The sequence below is a fragment of the Homo sapiens genome, chromosome 9, assembly GCF_000001405.40.
Source record: "Homo sapiens chromosome 9, GRCh38.p14 Primary Assembly".
Taxonomy (NCBI): Eukaryota; Metazoa; Chordata; class Mammalia; order Primates; family Hominidae; genus Homo; species Homo sapiens.
The window spans coordinates 63112045-63133595 of NC_000009.12; the positions used below are offsets into that span (position 1 = coordinate 63112045).

General features: G+C 47.6%; 1 long non-coding RNA gene and 1 pseudogene across 7 annotated transcripts in view; one reads left to right on the forward strand and one right to left on the reverse strand.

Annotated features, from left to right (window-relative positions):
- Positions 1-358: 358 nt before the first annotated feature.
- LOC286297 (methylenetetrahydrofolate dehydrogenase (NADP+ dependent) 1 like pseudogene) lies at positions 359-15056 on the reverse strand (annotated as a pseudogene). Its single transcript, NR_046175.1, has 4 exons — positions 14417-15056; positions 12141-12248; positions 9647-9799; positions 359-2048 (listed from the first exon to the last, which is right to left on the reverse strand). The product of NR_046175.1 is annotated as a methylenetetrahydrofolate dehydrogenase (NADP+ dependent) 1 like pseudogene (transcript).
- Positions 13867-21551, forward strand: part of LOC105379814 (uncharacterized) — a 35297-nt gene continuing 27612 nt past the window's right edge. For 2 of the 6 annotated variants that reach the window (XR_001746478.3, XR_001746481.3), the window contains exons 1-2: positions 13867-14192; positions 15290-15340. This is a non-coding gene — a long non-coding RNA (uncharacterized LOC105379814). Of the gene's footprint in view, positions 14193-15289; positions 15341-16010; positions 16040-16362; positions 17063-18764; positions 18848-21409; positions 21530-21551 lie in introns of those variants that run through there. The other 4 variants (XR_007061524.1, XR_001746483.2, XR_001746482.2 and 1 more) reach the window with 4 other exon arrangements.

The following is a 21551-nucleotide window of genomic DNA, read 5'->3' on the forward strand; positions in this document are numbered from 1 at the left end:
ATATTTCTTAGGCTTCCCACGAAACCCTCAAACTGACTCTGAGGGTGGCCTTGCTATCTAATTTACAAAACCGGTTATCTTGGTTTGTGTTCATTTTATTTCCCTTGCATACATTGCTTAGCTGCTTCTGATTATATGCCTCTTAGCCGCGGCTGGATAGAAAAGTGTAATAAGAGAAAAGTGTAACTAAGAGACACAGAAGAAAGAGAAATTCCATGAGCACCAGATACTTTTATGGGTGCCTTTTGGAAGCTCTAAATTGAGATGTATCTTTGTTGTCAATTTATGCTATGAATCCAAACGAAAAATGGGGGGAGAAAAACAAATAGGCTGTAGATGAAAGTGGAAGAAGAAAAATGAGTCTATATATATATATATATTAGCAGTTGTATGAAAGTATATGAGTCAATATTCCATCAATACCTAGAAAAATAGTAGATCAATATGCTGATTTTAGGGGTGGACACAAAAGTGTTATAAGTGTCTTTTAACTTTTCTTTTTTCCCTCCTTGACTCTGAAGAGAAACACCATTTTTTCTACGTATGCAAAGAGTAAAAATTCAGAACTAACATGCAGGGATTAATAGCAGTGAATTGCAAACTCAACTCAGTGGTATAGTACCTGGCAACATTATTACTCAGCATATTTCCCTGGCTGAGGCTGACTTCATTTAAAGTAGTTTTATACTTGTGCTAAAAATAAGTGTACATCCCATTAAGGGAGAAAAGATCTTCTACACAATGGATTGGACCTACATAACCTTATGTACCAGAGAAGAAAACATCATTCTCATGAGTCGCAAAGCTTTCTTCTTCTTGTCAATATGATAAACAGTTTCCGTAAATTGAGAATGACGCTGGTTACTTTCCTTCCTCCTGAACATGCCACACTGAAGAGACAGGGATGACTCCTTCCCTATGGGACAGACACACATGTAGCTTTCCCTGGGTTGTGGAGGAAGGCATGGCCACAACACCATTGGCAGTCTGCTGCAGGGACCTCACGATGAGAGGAAGCAATGGATGCCTGGGCCAGGGAAATGCATATTTGGGAGAAAGCAGGAAATTCTGATGTAGAGATAGGGAAGAACCCTGGGGAAAAGGACCCAAGCTGGGCGGGGAGGAGGAAACCACCAGGATCCCAGGATCAGAGACAAAGGACCCAGGGACACAAACAAAGTGAGGCCAGATGGAGAGGGCAGGCTCACGGGGAGAGCAAGCTCACAGGGAGAGCATGAGCCAAACCTGGCTTATTTCACACTCATCAGAGAGACTGCACAGATGGGGCCAAACCAGGGCCCAGGAGCATCGGAGAGAGGAGGGCCATTTCAAAGACTTTTGTAAAATAAGCTCAAAGTTTCTTTGTTTATTTGTGGGTGTGGGAGTGGAAACGTAGGGAAAGTGAAGAAAGTGGGGGAAAAGGGATGGGTGATTTTGTAGGCAAGATGCTCCCTGAGGAGGTCCTGGTGGACCTGCTGTGGGGAGTGGCATTCTGCACACTCTCATATCATGGGGAGCGCATGACTACATTACTGCTTACACATCTCCAAGTGCAGCTTGGGGGGTGAATGTTTAATTGTCTCACTGTAACTGTCTAAATCTCTGGAAAATGTGAAGGGTCATGCATTTGATTTAAACCTATGAGGTCTGAATGAATTCTCCTCCATGCCTAACCGAGTGAAGCAAGTATATAACCAACCATGCATCCCTAAGCAGGGCCGGTATGAAAGGGAGGAAACGCCTCCCCACTGAGCTCGCAAAGAACTTCATCACTGACCTGAATCAGATCCAGCAGGAAATGAAACACTGAGTACATACTTTTACAGTAGAGGGAGGGGGACGGAAAACAAAGTGAGCTGAACTGAAACGTGAGAAAGAACAGAATGGCAGTGAGTCCACGGGGCAGGGCCGCAGCTTTCTTTTTTCATGGCCCTCAGTCCAGTAACCCCACCCGGCATTCGTAGCGGATGACATCATTGATGCCCAAACATGCTCCAGCAATTTCCTGCTTTCCAGAGTCCAGCCGAGCCATGATGTCAGTGGTGCACCTGGGTAAAGATATGGCAGGGCCGGGTCACAGGGAGTGGGGACAAAGGCCAACCCAGTTAAATAAACTGCTGGTCTTCTAGGGCCTGGTCCCTAGGCAGGCTTCCACCATGAGATAGGTATAGCCCAGGCCAATCCCAACAAGAGGAAAAAAAGCATGTACTTGGCCGGGGGCGGTGGCTCACACCTGTAATCCCAGCACGTTGGGAGGTTGAGGCGGGTGAATCACGAGGTCAGGAGTTTGAGACCAGCCTGAACAATGTGGTGAAACCCCGTCTCTACTAAAATTGGAAAAAATTAGCTGGGCGTAGTGGTGGCCACCTGTAATCCCAGCTACTCGGGAAGCTGAGGCAGGAGAATCGCTTGAACCTGGGAGATGGAGGTTGCAGTGAGCCGAGATCACACCACTGCACTCCAGCCCAGGCAACAGAGTAAGACTCTGTCTCAAAAAAAAAAAAAAAAAAAAAAAGAATGCACCCATGCAGTGCCTCCTGTCACCCTCTGCCCAGAAAGGGCACAGGGGCCAGGGTGAAAGAGTTACAGGAAGACAGAGGGAAGGAAACCATGCAGACATAACCACATGGGGGCAGGCCCTAAGCTGCTGGGACCTCCACAGTGTATCCCTTTCCTCCAACTGGGAGACGGAAGCACCGATGGTCTTTCTCTACAGTGCCAGGAGCCACCCTGCCCCCAGAGATGCCCTACAATCAATGACTACCATCTAAATGCTTCTGGATAGTTTCATTCCTTGTAGATGATATTCCAAATATTATAATTTGTACTTCTCCACAATTACAATTCCAGTTTTGGGGTTTCTTTTTACTCATTAAATTTGAAAAGCCAATTCCAGTTTTAAAGCTTGACCCTTTTCTTAAAAGTTTAACTTCTCTTTTTATTCAGGCTTCCCACTAAACCCTCAAACTGACTCTGAGGGTGGCCTAATTTACAAAACCGGCCAGGCTGCCTAACCCCTAGATTCCAGCCCAGAGTGTTGCCATAAATTGCTGTCAAGACATGCCTCTATGTCCCATGTTTGCCAGTGAGAAAAGGGTTCATATTCTAAGTTCTTCAAGTCTCTCTCACTGCCTCAATGTGAAGTCAATGGAAAACAGTCAAATACACCAAAAATTAACTTCAAATGGATATCTGCTATGAATTCCAACTTGGTTGGACACCTCTCCAGGCCAACTGTTGTGAAAATGCATTGTTGTTTTAAAAAACACTGTGAGAGATGGCTGGGCGTGGTGGCTTACTTGAGGTCAGGAGTTTGAGAACAGCCCGGCCAATATGGTGAGACCCCAGTCTCTATGAAAAATATAAAAATTGAGCCAGATGTGGTGGCATGCACTTGTAGTCCACGCTACTTGGGAGGCTGAGGTAGGAGTATCACTTGAACCTGGAAGGTGGAGGTTGCAGTGAGCCGAGATCATGCTACTGCACTCCAGCCTGGGTGACAGAGCAATACTCTGTCTCAAAAAAAAAAAAAAAAAAAGAGAGCGAGAGAAAACACTGTGAGAAGAAAGAAGTCAATCACCCCCTCTCCAATGCCCAACACAGTAAGCAAGAAGGGCCCAGGAAAAAATTAACAGGGAAAAACAATCTTGCATTTGCTTAGTGGAATCTGGGGTTTGCACACATTAGTCAGAGCTAGACAAATCATACTGAATACACTTCTTATAGAAACATTCTAGCTCTTATGGCCTTTCCTTGCTGTCCCAACTTTTGAGGTGCGAAAACACAGCAACACAGCCAGGACCGGCCAGGTGATGGCACGGAGCCCGCTCCCACAGGCTGCGTGTGTGTTCTCACTCTCTTGCAACTGGCCTGAGTTAAGCCTTCTCCCCAAGCACTTGCAGTTTATCATCGCCCTATTTACTGTATTTTCATGTTATAAAAGTGATATACACCCAACGTAGTAATTTGATCTATACAAAAAAGAGAAGAAAAAAAGCTACTCATAATATCACTGTCTAATTTAAGGTTTTGGTGTAGTCTTTCTAGTCTTTTTCTATATGGAATGTAATTTACTTCTCAAAAATATCATTTCATATTCTTTGCTTACATATTAGCATTTTTGTCATGAAATTTATGCCAACTGATTAAACAGCCCTTGTAAATTACAGAAACTTAAAGACAATATCAAAACAATGTGACCACAAGACAAAGACCACCTACTACTAAATTATTTTTGGCATGAGATTATTTTTTGAGAAGTTTTATAAACTATTAGGTTTATTGAACACTATAAACTGTAATCCTTGAAAGAATTTTGGAAGCATACGATAACAGGGTAATTTGTAGTAGAATATAGGGTTGGAAAACCTTAAAAAACACTTGCTCATTTCTTCCTATATCAAAGATTTGTATTAGAAAATCTATTTCTTACAAAAAGATGTACTAAGTGGTATTATGTCAGTCAAGCATCTTGTATTATTTTCTAGCTTTCAATAATATGTATAATGTCATAAAAAAGAGGGAAGAATACACAAAATACATATGAAGCTTACTAGGAATGAAGAAAGTTATTTTAGGAAGGAAAAATTGGTTACCATCAAGGAATATGGAAAACACTAGCAATGCATGTAAGAATGACCTCAAAGGTCTTAGACGTCCACGAGCTGGGAATGCTTGTGCTGGGTGCTTCAGTTACAACAGCATGGGGAAGTTAAATAGACTAGTGAAGCTGTTACATCAGTTAATAGTATTTATTATTATTTGTGGTCACCAATGCCAATTAAAACAATAATTAAATAGAACATGATGAAATAATTCAATGGTAGGAAAAAAAAATCTGGCCTACAAGTGAACATGGAAAGTAAAAGTAAATATTTAGAAAGTGAAATCAGGAGTGGAAAAAAGCTCCAGCATCTCACCATGGGGTCTTCCAAAGCCAGCAGTACTGGAGATGTTTATTGTTCAAAGATGGACTTGCTTGGGTTGGGATTCTCCAACTAGAGCCAGAGGGGAGATTCTCTGCTTCCCTTGAGGACACAAAAAGAGAGGCTTTCTTATAAAGCCTGCCACATTCTGTGCCTGTATTGTTTTATTTACTGGAGTCTATCATAAGGCCTGTGAGGAAAGGACTGAATCTCTTTCTCATAGCCGTTGGGCTGATGGCCCTGCGTGCTGTAGGCATTTAATAATTCACTGAGTAAGTGAATGAACCCTGCAGGAGATTGGGAGCCTTTCTGATCTTGAGGTCTCAGTTTGGACTATCTTTCTGGAATGGATAGACGAATATGTTTTTCAGCAGCACTCTAATAAGCGCACATTGGGTGACTAAGCAGAAGAGTGATTCGTTTTGCTAGAATTTTCCAACCTGCAGGAGCCAGTCCCCCTGGTGTCCCCATTCCCTGTCCCCTCAGTCATCTCAGCAGGAAATTACTATCCTTTCTCCCACATGGGTGATGAATGTTCAAGGCATTTCAGCACACTGTGGTAAGGCCCAGAATGGGTTCAAGTAAAAGTAAATACCAGTCCTTATTAGGAGATCCTGGCCCCTCTGCTGCATGTGTCCCAGTACACATGCAGCTTCCTGCTCTGTCATAGAAAGCAGCCCTCTAGGGCCACTGCCTCCAGTGAGAGTTTCCTGACCTCCAGGAACTTCTGTAGTCAGGCACCACTCCCTTCCCTCACACCCAACACCCTGTTGTTCCAGATTTTATCACTGTGCACTGATGCTCACTGCGACCCCACATGTGGCCACAGGAGGAACTCGGCTGAGGGCTGAGAAGACCAGATAATGACACAGAGGGCTCACTTCAGGAAACCCAGAGAGCTGCAGCGGCTCCTCCAGGGCCATTCCACGCATTCATTTTCTAACAAGTCATAAGTCAAAGAGTGACATCAGGAGCGGACAGCCTGGTGTCCAGGCATGAGCCATGGCAACAGATTCTGATTTCCCAGAACGGCTTTGGTCTTTACCTGGTGTTGGATATGGTAGTGTTAGCTGGAGTGGGAGGAGATTCACATTGTATATTTGTTTAGTGACTCCAAAGATTTTAAATTATATTGTGTTTTTTATTATTTTATTCCATTTTTTTAGAGACAGAGGTCTCACTCTATCTCCCAGGCTGGAGTGCAATGATATGATCATAGGTCAGTGTAGCCTCAAACTCCTGGGCTCAAGTAATCCTCCCATTTCAGCCTCCTGAGTAGCTGGGACTCCAGGTGTGTACCATGACTCCTGGCTAATTTTGGTTTAAGTAGAGATACAGTCTGGCTATGTTGCCCAGGCTGGTCTTGAACTCCTGGCCTGAAGCAATCCTTCTACCTTGGCTTCCAAAAGTGCTTGGATTGTAAGTGTGAACCACTGTGTGGGCCCTGGTTTTTGTTTAATGGCTATTAAATGCTCAGAAGTGAATTAAGGTTGCAGTTAAATGCACAATTTTTATATCAAACTATTTTCTTTGCTAATTCACTTCTATCTGCGTCTACCAGCTGTAAACTACCTGAAGCAGAGAAAGTTTCTTTAGGTTGGGGCTTCCTGTAGCCCCGAGCTGAGTGTCTTATGCAGCATTGGCCGAGTGAATGAATTTGTTGGGTGAACTGCTGCGGGGTTTAGAGTCCGCAGAGGGTAGGACAGGACAGATCGTGATAGAGGCTAACCTTCTCATCTACTCTACCATTTCATGCTCTGTTTGGGCACCTCCATCACCCCTCACTTCCCCTGATGGTCCAGTCTCTCTGGGCCTGCACTGTCCAGCCACCCTCTTATCCCTAAGCCAAGGCCTTTGCCAACTAAAGCTCAGGAGTAAAGTGGCCATCACTGAGGCCATTCTATGTATGTATGTATGTATGTATTTAGAGATGGAGTCTTGCTCTGTCACCCGGGCTGAAGCACAATGGTGCAGTCTTGGCTTACTGCAACCTCTGCCTCCCAGGTTCAAGCAATTCTCCTGCCTCAGCCTCCCAAGTAGCTGGGATTATAGGTGTCCGCCACCATGCCCAGCAAATTTTTGTATTTTTAGTAGAGATGGGGTTTCACCCTTTTGGCCAGGCAGGTCTCAAACTCCTGACCTTGTGATCCCCCCACCTTGGCCTCCCAAAGTGCTGGGATTACAGGCATGAGCCACTGCACCCGGCTGACTGAGGCCATTCTAAGGAATATACAGCAAGCTCTTCAGTACCCATTTTTGTTAACTGAGGTATAACTAAATGATACACAGGCCCAGCACAGTGGCACGAACCTATAGTCACAGCAACTTGGGAAGCTGAGGTGGGAGGATTGCTTGAGATCAGGAGTTTGAGTCCAGCCTGGGCAACACACGTGTATAGGTCTATGAGTCTGGAAGAATGTATATAGCCATGGAATCACTACCATGTCAAAACATAGGATATTTCCATTATCCCAAAAAGTTCCCTCCTGCCCCTCTGCAGTCAAACACTTCCCTCCCCCAACTCCTGGCAACTGCTGATCTGAACTGTAGACCTGAAAATGTCATTCAGAACCCATTTCATCTGGACCCTTCTCTCTGTGTCAACATTGCTGTGAGCGGTGTCTGTGGGATTTTTCTGGACGTTCTCTGCCATGCCCCTGCTCCTTCCTTCCTGCCTTCTGGAAGGCACCCCTGCCAGGAGTCGGCTGCATTAAAGTGGGTGTTTCAGGGGTGTCTTCCTTTACTCTCTTCTCACTGATTTCCAGCTATCCCTGTGTCTCTTGTTTAATGAGTGCCTTCACCCATATCCTTAAACCCACCAGGGCGACCTTCCTGCCCCTTTCTTTGGAGAGCTGTATCTGTATTTCCAGTGGAGACACAGACTGTTCCTTAGATCCTATTAACCCTCTGAGCTCTCTCTCTTCAAGCCAGGCTCATTTCTGGCTTGGCCAATCTGCCTCCTCCCGTGTCCTTTCCATGACACGGTGATGGCATCACCAGCCAGTCACCAAGCTAGAACAGTCCCTTCACCCGGCCCCTACTGTAGGAGGATACTTTTAGAGTATGTCTGCAATTCACCCCCACTCTCTGTATCTACTTCTGTGGCCAAAGTGCGGACCTTGATTTCCTCTGGCCCCAGCTGAATTAACCCACCTCTCTGGGCCTGGTTCTCTTTTCACTAAACATTCTCCACATTGCTGCCAGAGCTATTTTTCTAAAATACACATCAGACCACATTCTTCTCCTCCTTCTTTAAAAACAAAAAATCAAAAAAATAAAAAACCAAGAAACAAACAAAAAACCCACCCTACCGTGGCTCCTCAGTGTGTAGAGATCAGATTCAAGTTCCGTGAGATGGTCTTCAAGATCCTTGGCCATGTGACCCCGTCCTGCTATCCCAATCCCATTCCCATTCCCATCCCCAGCCTCCCCACCTCATCCAACTCCAGCCACATTGGATCACCCCAGGAGAGGATGTCATGTATTAGTACTCTGGTGCCTTTGAGTCAAAACTCACTGTTTTGCCAGTTCAGAGGTTGAGCCCTTTTTGAAGAATCCCCTCTTCTTCCACAGCCCAGGTAAGTTCTACCCCAGGCATAATGAGCTGTTATCCCCCTGGGATCTGAGGGCATTCAGAATACCAACACAATGCTCTCCAGATACCTCTATGCTATTCAAATCCATGCATCTCACACCTGCTCATCTTAAAATCTCTGTGCCTCACATGCAGGAAGAATTCAAATGATGCTGATTGAAAAAACATTGTGTCCAATATTAGATGAAGCTTGTAAATATCAAGGCAAGAATCTGCACTTTTTGTCTGTCTATTGCTTGTTTGCACAATAGAGCCACATGGTTTATTATAAAAAATTATTATAATGTATGCTGTTTAAGCTCAGATCACTTTGCACTAATGATGATGATAATGATGGGTTAGAATTTTTTTTCTTTTCTTGCCATGGGATCTGCCAGGTTTTAAGAATTCTTTTTTATTCTAAACCAAATTCAGGAGCACTCCCAAAGACAAGAAATCAAATTTAGGCCACTGATGGTACCAACGGAAGGCTATCACTGTGTAGCTATACCAAATGAAGCCAATCTTCATGGATTTTAAGCACTTTGATAAGCTTTTATATCTCTGCTCATCTCGTTTACCTCCATAGATAACACAAAATAACAGAATAATCAACCAATAGCAACATAATCCCATCACAACAACATCAAAAATGAGAATTCATATGATTCAGTAATTTCCTAAGCCAGAACTTCCCACCTGATGTGCTGGGGAAGTGAGAGGGTGAGGACTGCTTTCCCCAGCCCTTAGGGTGACTGGGCAGATCCTGTCTGGTGTGAGCATTCAACCCTACTGATTACATCATTTTGGGTGCTATGTGTGATAAAGGTTGACAACCACTGTCCTAAGCCATTCTACCATTTAAATAGACTGAATTCTCCCAAGTTATGTTCTTACTTGCCTTAGGAAGGAAATTAGTATTATGACTCTAAGGATCCTGAACACATGATCTAAAAAAAGAAAAACCCAAAGCACAATGGCAAAGGTAGGTGAGACAGAGTGTTTAGAAAAATAGCGAATACTGTACTATTAATTACTCCCAATTCTCCCTAATCCATGATTTTTAAAGAGCGGGTGGAGCATAACGATTTGAGGCACTGCGACAATGCAGAATGGGGAGGGATTTTGGAAAATGTGACTCACTCACCGTTCCGACCAAAGGGTAAATGAACCCAGCACCTATGCTGGCCCGGACATCACTGATAGGTAAGATGAAGTCCCTTGGCACACCTTTTTTGTCAGGTTGGTGAGACAGAGAAAGATCGGTCTTTGCCATGCAGATGGGCAAATTTCCAAAACCCTGTAAGAAAGGAAAGAAAATGTGTTCACTGATATAGACGTGAGTCTCCTGTGTTTTTCAATTTGCACTTTATACAGTCTCGGCAGCAATGGTATGCCAGCTCAGATCGAGGCACACGCAGGAGCTGCTTGTTACTACTTGTTCACTGAAGAAGCAAGAAGGTGAGGATAAAAACTCATCTCCATGTGATGACTGTTTAGTAGGTCAGGGGTGACTATTGTTTATTTTGGAGGTTCTCGTTAAGAGAAGGCAGTGTTATGTGCATGTTTGGGAAAAGCATTGCTATTTGCAGGCAAAGCAGCAGCTGTAGAAACCGCTTTCCAAGACTATTAATATCCGGGACCCAGCAAGGTAGTCTGGAGAAAGGCTCTGCGACTAGGCTCTTAGTCATGTTGTTCACTCATTCTGGAGTCAGTCAAGAAGCAAAGGGTTCCTTTGTGTTGGTTTATGAATCATGGTTATTTGATCTGCAACTACATTACAAGAGCTAAGATGAGGTCACTATTTAAGCTTCTTGTTTTTAAGGACAAAAGTCTATGTCTGACCCAGAGTTCCAAAGGTGAAAGAGCAGGAAGTCACATGTGGTGTCTCACAAAAAGCACAGTGTCCTATAAGCCTGTTTCTGATTAAATGGCACACAGTGTTCCTTCAGAGGCTTTGCTAATTCATTGCAACCACATACTTGGCACTAACTTTAAAAAAAATAAAAATAGAGATGGAGGTTTTGCTATGTTGCTCAGAGTGGTCTCAACTCCTGGCTTCAACTGATCCTCTGCCTTGCCCCCACAAAGTGCTGGGATTACAGGTGTGAGCACCGTGCCTGGTTGACACGACTTTTAAGGAGTATTTCCTTGATAGAGATAAAGGGAATGAAATCTTTAGTCAAATTTTCATAAGACTTAGCCTAAAACTATTTGGAAGATCTTAGAGTCTTATCAACTTAGGGAGGACTTGGGCTTGGGGCCATTTTCTTTTTGAAATCTCCACTCTTCTATACTGATAAGAATTTTGCTGAGTGAGAATCACAACTGCCTTTCAGAATGGTGCCAGAATTTTGAATTTCAGACATGGTTAAATATTAAAGTAATTTCTATAGGTTTGCTAATGTAAAAATTTTGTTAGTAGGCATATTAAAAAGAAACAGAAACCAACCAGTATGCTATATACTGTCACCAGATTACTTCATAAAAGAAATAACATTTTAACACTGAAAGGAGAAAAGACTTAATATTACAATAAATGATAGTCTTAAATATCATTATTAAAAACTCGGGGAATAAAAAACAAAGCAACCTCATGAGAATGACCTTATTTTACTTGGTTCATTGCACATGAATGAAAACTTCACCACAATGCCTAGGCACAGAGCAGTGCTTGGGAATCCTTTTTGTAAAGGGTAAGCCAAGAACATCAGGGAAAATTCTAAGAATTTAGAACTTTCTGAGTTCCTATTTTACCAAACCTAGGAGAACAAATACCCTGGCTGGCAATGGTAACATTTAACAAAATTTCAAATGGGTTTACAAAAAAGAATAAGGAGTTGGAGATTGTTTTTAAAGATAAGGTCAACACTACCAATCATGAAGCTCTTTAGCCAACAGGCTCTTAAAATGTTCTGACTTCTATCTATCTGATTACACCAAAGTAGGAGGGACACTGGAGGCACATGATCCTTTTGGTAAAAGGTGGCTGAGCCTCCTATAATGGAGTTGATTCATCATGACTGTCACTGGACTAGGTGATGACACATGCTGTCAGATCGTAGCCACCTTCCCAGCTGTTTGCCTACTTGCCTTTCTCAGTGGCTAGAGGTAGAAGATGATGGAGCCTTCAACCTCAGTGGACCAGCTCAGTAAAAAGCCAATGAACCGCTTGCATAAGAACAGCAAACATTCCCATCTTTATAGGCTGCACTCCTATCTGCCTACCCTGGCACCTTGCTAGCATTTTTAAGGTAGTAAGAGGCCTGTAAGGAAGAGGAAGCATTGCAATTCATGCAAATCTGACTCCGCAGCTCTACTCCAAAGGATAGTTTCAACGTTCTGGGCTGAGTGGGAGGGATGAAAGATCACACATCACCTACAAACAGGGATACCACCCATATCAGACACATTTATAGTCACAGAAGTAAATGATGCATGGATCAGAGGATACATGCCTCACCATAAAGTTCTAAATATAGTTTACACTCTACCCGAGGATATTGCTTTCATCTTTGTTAACCAGAAAATAGATTAAGCAAAGGTTAGCTGGTGAGACATGTACAAATCCTCAAGTCAAGCTGAGTATTCTGAGAGCCTAAGGTGAATTTTTTCTTTTCCCCTAAAAGTACAACTTTTACCTGCTGAGTGTAACGATCTATTTTGACTTGTGCCTCAGGACAGAGTTCGATATCTTTGGCTCCATAGACAGCCTGGGCAATGGTCCTTATCTTGTCCACAATTGGAAGCTGCAGAAACACAAATTATAACAAAATTGTGTAAGTTTAATCTGGTTAAAGATTTTTTTAAAAGTTTAGTGACACTTACTGTAATTGCTTAAAATTCCCTTATCAGGGTACCCCCTCAGCAACTGCAGGATTCCTTGCAAACCCTCTTTTTTCCTTTTAGCACCCTAAAGCACTGAAATTTTCAGTGTCAGAATAGATCGGATGTCAACTAGCAAATAAGCCTTAGGTGTTCAGGCAATTTAGAGGCTGCCTAGAGCCCATGTAGAATCTGCAGAGGGAGGCCGGGCACAGTGGCTCACACCTATAATCCCAGTACTTTGGGAGGCCGAGGCGGGTGGATTACCTGAGGTCAGGAGTTCGAAACCAGCCTGATCAATATGGTGACACCCCGTCTTTACTAAAAATCCAAAAAAACTAGCTGGGCTTGGTGGTGCATGCCTGTAATCCGAGCTACTTGGGAGGCTGAGGCAGGAGAATCACTTGAACTGGGAGGCAGAGACTGTGGTGAGACAAGATTGTGCCACTGCACTCCAGCCTGGGTGGAGTAGGACTCCGTCTCAAAAAAAAAAAAAAAAAAAAAATCTGCAGAGGGAAGAGGGAAGTTAGTGCCTTACAGAGGGCTTCTGACTAGGAAGCCCCAGAACTGCGGCCGACCCCTTCCTCTCCCTGCCTCACCCCTGCAGAAAGATCTGCAGAAAAAGCTGGAAGGGGTGGGATGGTGTGTGTGGGGGTGGGGACTGGGGCTATGCAGTTTCCAGACCTGGTCTTTGGCACCCTCTACAGGACAGTTCCATTCCCACACCTGAGCTTTGGACAACTGAATCCTATGCCCCTTCCCACCCAGGGAACCTGGTGCCAGAAATTCCCAGGACTTACCCACCATCCACCACGCCACATAGCAAGTGTCCTCAGTGTCTGCAGACCAGAAACAACTCCCTTGTGTCTCAGCACTGGGCCACCTGCTGAAACCCCAAACTGCCTGCCCCATTGTTTGAGACCCAGTCAGGCCTTGGCTCCAAAAGTCCTCTTGGACTGCCACTGGCCCCCAGGGTCTCTCCTGACTGCACCTCGGTCCCGGAGCTCCCACACCGCTGGGCCCCGAGCCCCATGCCCCGATCCAGCTGTGGCTCCTTTACGGGGGCCTTGCTGGCCTTTCCTAAGGGAGGTGTTTTCCCGAGGGCAGGTGGACTGCTCCTCAGACTAGGGGCCCTCGGAGGGCCAGGCCTGGGCTTCTACCTCCTCTCGCAGGCTGGTGTTTCTCTGCAAATATGGCTCGTGTGTCCTCCTTCCTCTCAGACTGGGGGCCCCTGAGGACTGGGCCTGAGTTTCCCTCTCCCCCTTCAGAATGGGGGTTCCCTGAGGACTGACCCAGGGCCTCCCCCCGTCCCCTCCATCTGGCTGTTAATCTCCAACACTTCCACCTCCAGTCCTATTCTGCACAGCGCTCCCCAGCGCTGGGAGCTCAGAGGCCTCTTCAGCCTTCCCCAGGGCTGGGGCTCAGGGAGGGCTTCCTCAGGCGCTGGCCCCAGAGTCAGGCTGCACATTGGCTTGGAGGACAGGCCTTTCCTCTGGGACTGTGAGGCCCAGAGTGCCCACCCAGAACTCCACCTCTGACCTCACAAAGGCCTGCTTCAGAACTCAGTCTCCACTGCACTGCTGGCCAGACGAGGGATGTTATTTTGGGCAGTGCATCTGGACTTGGTTCAAGTGGCACCAGCCAAATCCCTGCCTTACTGACCTCTCCCCTGGAGGAGCAGGAGCAGCGCTCAAGGCCGCCTTGGGAGGGCTGAGAGGCAGGCTCTGGACTGGGGACACAGGGATAGCTGAGCCCCAGCTGGGGGTGGAAGCTGAGCCAGAGACAGTCACAGAGGAACAAGATCAAGATGCGCTTTAACTGAGAAGCCCCCAAGGCAGAGGCTGAGAATCAGAAGACATTTCAGCAGAGTGAGTGGGGCTCCAGGCAGGGTGGGGATGGGGCAGCCTCCTCAGTGCCCAGATCTGGAAGGGTCATTCCCTGGGTACCATACAGCGAGGAGGTGACTGAGGGATTGTTTGGGGAAGGAGCCCCGGCTGGGAGTGGAAGTCCCGGCTTTCTTGTTATGGTGCAGTCCTGTGTTGCTGTGTGACACAGGCACATACACCTTCTCTCTGGGCCTCAGTTTCCTTACCTGTAAGTTGGTTGTTGGGAGGACCAGCGGTAGAGCAGAGATGGCAGGGATGCACTGGGCTGGGCTGTCAGCAGACCATGGGGGTGGGACGAGGAGAGAGCTGAAGACCACCGGCAGTGGACCACAGGGGGAGGCATGCAGGCCAGACACGGGTCAGCTGCCGGCTTGCTGGAGTCATTCCTCCCACGCAGTCCCCTCCTGAGGGGCTGGAGCTGGGGCTGGAGGGTTTCAGCAGTCAGGGCTGGAGATAAGAGTCTGTGCTGGAGCTAGAGGGAACTGGGCTAGAGAATCAGGAGGACAGACAGGGTGAGGGGACTTCGGGCTACCTTCATGCTGTCTGTTAGAGATAAAGATAGGAGTACAAAGGGGAATTTTTGGGTGAGGTACACGGGTGAAATGAGTTTTCAGGGCCTCATCCTGTGTGTTCACCTTCTGCGTGTGTGTGTGTGTGTGTGTGTGTGCATGCGTGCATATATGTGTGTGTGCAGGTCCTGGACAGTCACAGCTTAAGTTAGCAGCAAGAGAACTTGAGGTTAAAGGTATAGCACGCAAATATGAGGCTGGAGCCACTGAGTAGAGGCTGAGGGCATCTCCACAGTCCAAAGCTGGGCTGCAGACAGGGAAGGTCAGCAGGAGCACTGGAGGGTCTGGCCTGGGGTTGGGGTCCTGGGGCCAGCATGGGTGGGGTGGGGCTCCAGGGCGTCGCCTCATTGGCTGAGCACCGCTCCTCCCTCCCTGTTCCTTGGCTGGGTTAAGGGAGTGGCACTAGCAGGAGCTGCCCCAGGGCTTCTCCCCTGGGGACAAAGGTCTGATGGAAGTGTGGGGCCAAGTTCTGTGTCCTCCAGCCCTAGTGACCTCTCTTTGGCTCTTCAGCATCTACAAATCTGAAGGACAAAACATGGTTCAAGCATCTGGGCACAGGCGGTAAGTACCCCACCCTCTTCTCACCCTCCAGCCCCCTGTCCTCCACCCAGCCCACTTCAGTGCCCTCCCTGCTCCATCCTCAGCCTCTCCCTTGGGGCAGCTGTCCCCCCTCGACCTCCTCCTCCCCACCCACCCACTCGCCTCTGAGGTCCCAGAAGAAAAGCATCTTCCACCTGTTGCCTGGGCTGGGTCCTGGGGTGAGGGGAGGCTCAGAAATACTTGGATGAGGGTCAAGGCATGCAGGTGGCCTTCAACTCAACTGCACTCAGCACCTCTCACCCTCTCAGGCTCAGCTGTCTTTGGGGTGAAAAAGAGCCAGTCCTTGCAATGGCCAAGGCCCTGCCTATGTAGTCCTTGTTAGCTTTCTGGCCTCCCCACTCCAGCCCCCTGCTCTCCCTCCTCCAGCCACACTGAGTTTCTTTTCTGGTTTTCTTTTTCTTTTTTTTTTTTTTTTTTTTTTGAGATGGAATCCAGTTCTGTTGCCCAGGCTGGAGTGCAATGGCAAGATCTTGGTTCACTGCAACCTCCTTCTCCCGGGTTCAAGCGATTCTCTTGCCTCAGCCTCCTGAGTAGCTGGGATTACAGGATTACAGGCACACACTACCATGCCCAGCTAATTAGTTGTTTTTTTTTTGTTTTTTTTTTTTTTTTTTTTTTTTTGTATTTTTAGTAGAAATGGGGTTTCGCCATGTTCGCCAGGCTGTTCTTGAACTCCTGACCTCAGGTGATCCACCCGCCTCGGCCTCCCAAAAGGTTGGGATTACAGGTGTGAGCCACTGCACCTGGCCTCACACTGACTTTCTTTGCTTTCTTCAAACATGCTGAGAGTCCTCTGGTGACTATTCCCTCCATCTGAGAGGCTTTCTGCAGTTAACATACAGCCCACTCTCATCTCCTTCATGGCTTTGCTCCAAGGCCACCTTCTCAACAAGGATTACTCTGACTGCCCTATTTGAAATCACACCCCATCTCCAGCCCCTGCACTCCCAATTCCCCTCTCCTTGCTCTGTTTTTTCCCATAGGAGCTGGTACCTTCGCTTATACAAATGTACTTACTTATTACATTTCATTGCTGTCAGCTCCACGCAAGCAGGGATATTTGCCTGTTGTACACTTGCACGGAGAGAATGAATAGTGCCCCTCTGTTGACATCATTGCCTCTAGCCTACGTCTCTTTCCAGGGCTTTAGATCCTGTTTCTAGAGACCCACTGGTGTCTCACAGGCAACTCAGCTCCTAGATGGAAACAGCCTCCTCCGCCCCCCACAAGTCCACTCCTCCTGTGCTCTTGGCTCAGTCAGGGGTCCCCTTCTCTTCAGTTGCTCAAGCCAGAAGTCAAGGTCATGTCCTTGATACTTCCCTCTTCCCCATGCCTCACATCCAGTCACCAATCTCCTAAAATATCTAGAATGTGCACAGCTTCCACCATTCTTTCTACCACCACCCTACTCCCCCATGGCCATGTCAGGCCACCACCCGCCCATTCTTCAAAACTCCCTTCAGGCCTCACCTCCCATGCCTCCCCTGAGTTCCCCCAGTCCCAGGCTGCTTCTCTCTGGTGGTGTTGCCATTACCCATCTCTTCTATTAAACAGAGTGACCCAAGAGTGGAGAGTGGGTTTTGACTTTGTATCCCTGGTGCTTGACTCATAAGTAGGTGCTCAACAAAAATTTTTTCTTTTTTTGAGATGGAGTCTTGTTCTGTTGCCCATGCTGGAGTGCAGTGGCATGATCTCGGCTCACTGCAACTTCTGCTTCTTGGGCTCAAGCGATTCTCACATCTCAGCCCCCACCCCAGCTGGGATTACAGGTGCCTGCCACCACGCCCAGCTAATTTTTTTTTTATTTTTAGTGGAAATGGGGTTCTGCCATGTTGGCCAGGCTGGTCTTGAACTCCTGACCTCAAGTGATCCACCTGCCTCGGCCTCCTGAAGTGTTGGGATTACAGGCATGAGTCACCATGCCTGGCCAACAAATGTTTGTTGAATGAAGAAATGTTGGTTAGCAGGTTGAATTGTTGGCTCGTGGTTAGTTGGATAGTTTATGGTTGACTGGTTGATTAGATAATTCAATGAGTTAATAGCTGGTTAACAGGAGAATCAGTTAGTTGGTTTTTGATAGGTTAGTCAAAGGGTTAATAAGCCACCGGGCATGTTGGCTCATGCCTGAAATCCCTGCACCTTGGGAGGCTGAGGCTGGAGGATTGCTTGAGTCCAGGAGTTTGGGACCAGCTTTGGTAACATGGCAAAACCCCATCTCTACAAAAAATAGGAAAAAATAGCCGGTCATGGTGGCATGCTCCTGTAGTCCCAACTACTTGGGAGGCTGAGGTGGGAGGATCACTTGAACCCTGGGAAGTCTAGGCTTCAGTGAGCTGTGACTGTGCCACTGCACTTCAGCCTGGGTGACAGAGTGAGACCCTGTCTCAAAAAAAAAAAGAAAAAGAAAAAGAAAAGAAACAGGCGTTAGTGAGTTGTTAGCTATTTAGTTCCTTGGTTAACAGATTACTTAGGGGATCTGGTTGGCTGTCAGTTTCTTGCTTTGTAGGCTGGCTTTCTTGGGCCCCTCTTAGTCTGTACCCTCTCCTTGAGCTCTCTCATCTATGCCCATGGCTCAGATGACCATCTGTGATTTGCTGTCCTCCAAATGTGTCTGTAAGTGAGACCACATGACCAGCTGCCTCCTCACTGGCCATCCCACCCAAGTGTCTAGCGGGCTCCTCACACTCAACATGTCCAGAAAGGGCCTCCTTGTCCATTCTTCCACAGCTTCTCTGCTGTGCCCCACGCTAGTCATTCTGCTGCCCTAGCCAGGACCTGAGGGCATCGCTGAGCTGCCCCGCTCCCTTCCCTCTCTAACTGAACACCAAGCCTGTCAGCTTGACTGTGCTCTTGTGGCCATTGGCACTGCCATCCTTGTGGCTCAGGCTGCCACCACTTCTCCACCCATCTGTGGAGAAGCTGATGCTCACCCTGCCTCCACTCCACTTCCTCCATCCTGGCCTCCACAGGGGAGGCAGCTCTCCTGCTGAAACCCTCCACTTGGCCCATGGCCCTCTGGTAGAGTTCAGACTCCCTAATGTGGGCCATGAGGCCTTCTGCCACCTGGCCCTGGCCCCTCTCTGCCCATCTCATGCCACCTCCACTCCTCCGTGGCCAGCCCATTCCTGCACATTGGATACTGCCTTAGCTGCAGGCCTTTGCACATGCCAGTCCTACGCCCAGAGTGATCCCTGCCTCCCTGGAGGCTCCTTTACCCTCCAGCCTTCTTTTCTTGACCTGAATTTCCCTTTCTCTGGGAGCCTTCTACCCCCTCCTCTAGGCCATTCACTTCCTCCACATGCCCCACAGTGCCCACTCTTTCAGCTGGGGCAATGCTCATCACACTGCATAGTAATTGCTCAATTGATTGCTTTTCTTCCCACAGGCTGGATTGTACCAGTGTCCTTTACTGCAGTGACTGAACATTCTAGGCACAGTAGATTCAAGAAATCTTGAGTTCATTGGCTGGTTGGTGGTTATCTGTTGCTTACTGTGTCTTGCCTGCTGTGTGGTGATGAGGAAGGAGCCAGGCTTCCAGGATTCTCTTGGTGTTCTTGTCTTTCCGCTCTGTCCACTTCTCTCTCCTCTTCTGTGGTTACCTCCAGCATGGGAGGTGGGGTTGGATGGGAGCCAGTGGAGGGTCACCTCGCCCTGCTAGGGAGAGCAGCAGCATTCCTCAGGGCTCCTAAATTCCCCTGACCTCACAGCAGCAAAAAGTAAGCAGAGGGAATGAGAGACGTCCAGGCATGGAATAAAACATCTTCCACTTTTCAGCTGAGACCCTCTGTTCATAGCTCACCCATCCCAGTCCTTGCTCTATTCCTTACTCCAGAGAAACAAAACCAGGGATGAGTAGATGGAGGGGGATGCAGAGTTGCGCGGATATTCCACTGGCCCCCATCCAACTCCAGCTCCCATGCAGCATCGTATAGGGGTCTCATTATCCCATGACCAGCCTCCTCAGCCCTGAAGAAGAGACCCTACCAATGCAAGCAGCAGCCCAAAGACAGTCCTGGGAAGGTACCATAGAGGCAGGGGAGAGTTAGACAGAGCAGGGAGCCAAGAACACCAAGGGAATCCTGGAAGCCTGGCTCCTTTCTCATCAGCACAGAGCAGGCAACAACCAGCCAAGGAACCAAAGATTTATTGAATCTACTATGCCTACTATGTTCAGGCACTGCAGTGAAGCAAACTGGTATGATCCCAGCCCTTAGGAAGAAAAACCGTTAATTAATTAAGCTTTTTTTTTTTTTCTTTTTTGAGACAGGGTGTCGCTCTGTCACCCACGCTGGAGTGCAGTGGTGTTATCTCAGCTCACTGCAACCTCTGCCTTCTGGGCTCAGGCAATCCTCTCACATCAGCCTCCCCATTAGCTGGGACCACAGGCGTACACCACAACACCTGACTAATTTTTGTATTTTTTTTTTTTTGTAGAGATGAGGTTTTGTCATACTGCCCAGGCTGGTCTTGAACTCCTGGGCTCAAGCGATCAGCTCGCCTCAGCAAGTGCTGGGATTACAGGCGTGAGACACTGTGCCTGGCCTAACTGAGCAATTACTATGCAGTGTGATGAGCATTGCCCCAGCTGAAAGAGTGGGCACCGTGGGGCATGTGGAAGAAGTGAATGGCCTAGAGGAGAGGGTAGGAGGCTCTCCCAGAGAAAGGGAAATTTAGGTCAAGAAAAGAAGGCTGGCGGGTAAAGGAGCCTCTGGGGAGGCAGGGGACCATTCTCGGTGTAGGACTGGCATGTGCAAAGGCCTGCAGCTAAGGCAGTACATGATGTGCAAGGATGGGCTGGCCAGAGGAGTTGAGGGGCTGGTGTCAGCTTCCGGGCATGCAGACAGTGAGATAGCAGAGTGACTAAGGCCACACTTAGAGGTATCTGTATCCCTCTTCTTCCTCTTTTTTTTTTTTTTTTTTTTTTTTTTGAGATGGAGTCTCACACTTGTTGCCCAGGCTGGAGTGCAGTGGCAAGATCTCGGCTCACCACAACCTCCATCTCCCATGTTCAAGTGATTCTCCTGCCTCAGCCTCCGAAGTAGCTGGGATTACAGGCATGCGCCACCATGCCTGGCTAATTTTGTATTTTTTAGTAGAGATAGGGTTTCTCTATGTTGGTCAGGCTGGTCTCGAACTCCCGACCTCAGGTGATCTGCCCACCTTGGCCTCCCAAAGTGCTGGGATTATAGGCGTGAGCTACCGGGTCCAGCCCCTCTTCTTCCTCTTTATCCTCCAGTCCCACCCCGCCACCTTCCCCAAACTCCAGTCCTATACCTCTCCCTATACGCAGATTTGGAACCTGTTACTCACCTGTTTCATCTACCTTTCCATCTAACCGTGCAATTAACTAAATATAAATCAAGTGCCAGGCCCTTTGGCAAGCTCTGAGGATCTAGTTGGGAGTAAGACAGATTCCCCAGTTTTCACCCATTCAACAAATACTTATTGCACATCTACTATGTGCCTGGCATGGTGCTGGGCACTGAAGATACACCAGGAAGTAGATCCAGTCCTTCCTTTTCTCCCTCCCGCTCTCTTGGTCATTCATTCATTCATTCACTCACTCTCTCACAAACCTCTGTTTGCAATGACCTGGTTGCACAGCCTGGTGCATTTTGCTGACCCCTTCATTTTTGACAGAACCTGGCGCATGTTTCAGTGCTCAGTGCTGTTTACAGAGCTCGGCAGCAGACTTTGTCACACTTCATGCTGTTTGTAGAGTGCCTCACTGTTGCCAGGCCCTGGCCTGTGACCCCAAAGTTCTGGCTCTAGCAGATAGGCAGACAGACAGATGGACAGACATAGACTACTGAGCTCTACTTTCCAGCCTGCTCTCTCCCACCCTACTTTTTCCCAGAGGCTTGTTGGCACCGTGGATTGCACTTTCAGCTCCCCACCTGCCCGTCTGCAAAGTGGCCTCATTGGTGTGCCATTTTTACTGGTCCAGTCCCAACTACAAGGGGCATGGCTTGGCCATCTACCCCAGTTCCTCTCCATGTCCCCATGGCTCGCAAGTGTCTCCAATTCCAGCTGTCCCAGCTGCCCCGGGCAAGAGGAGGTGTGTGTGGCAAGTCTGCTGGGTTACCTATTAACTCAGCTGTGAGTTGAAGAGCCGATGGGCAGCAGGCAGACTTGAGTCTCCTTTCTGTCCATGAGCTCGGGCCACTGTATC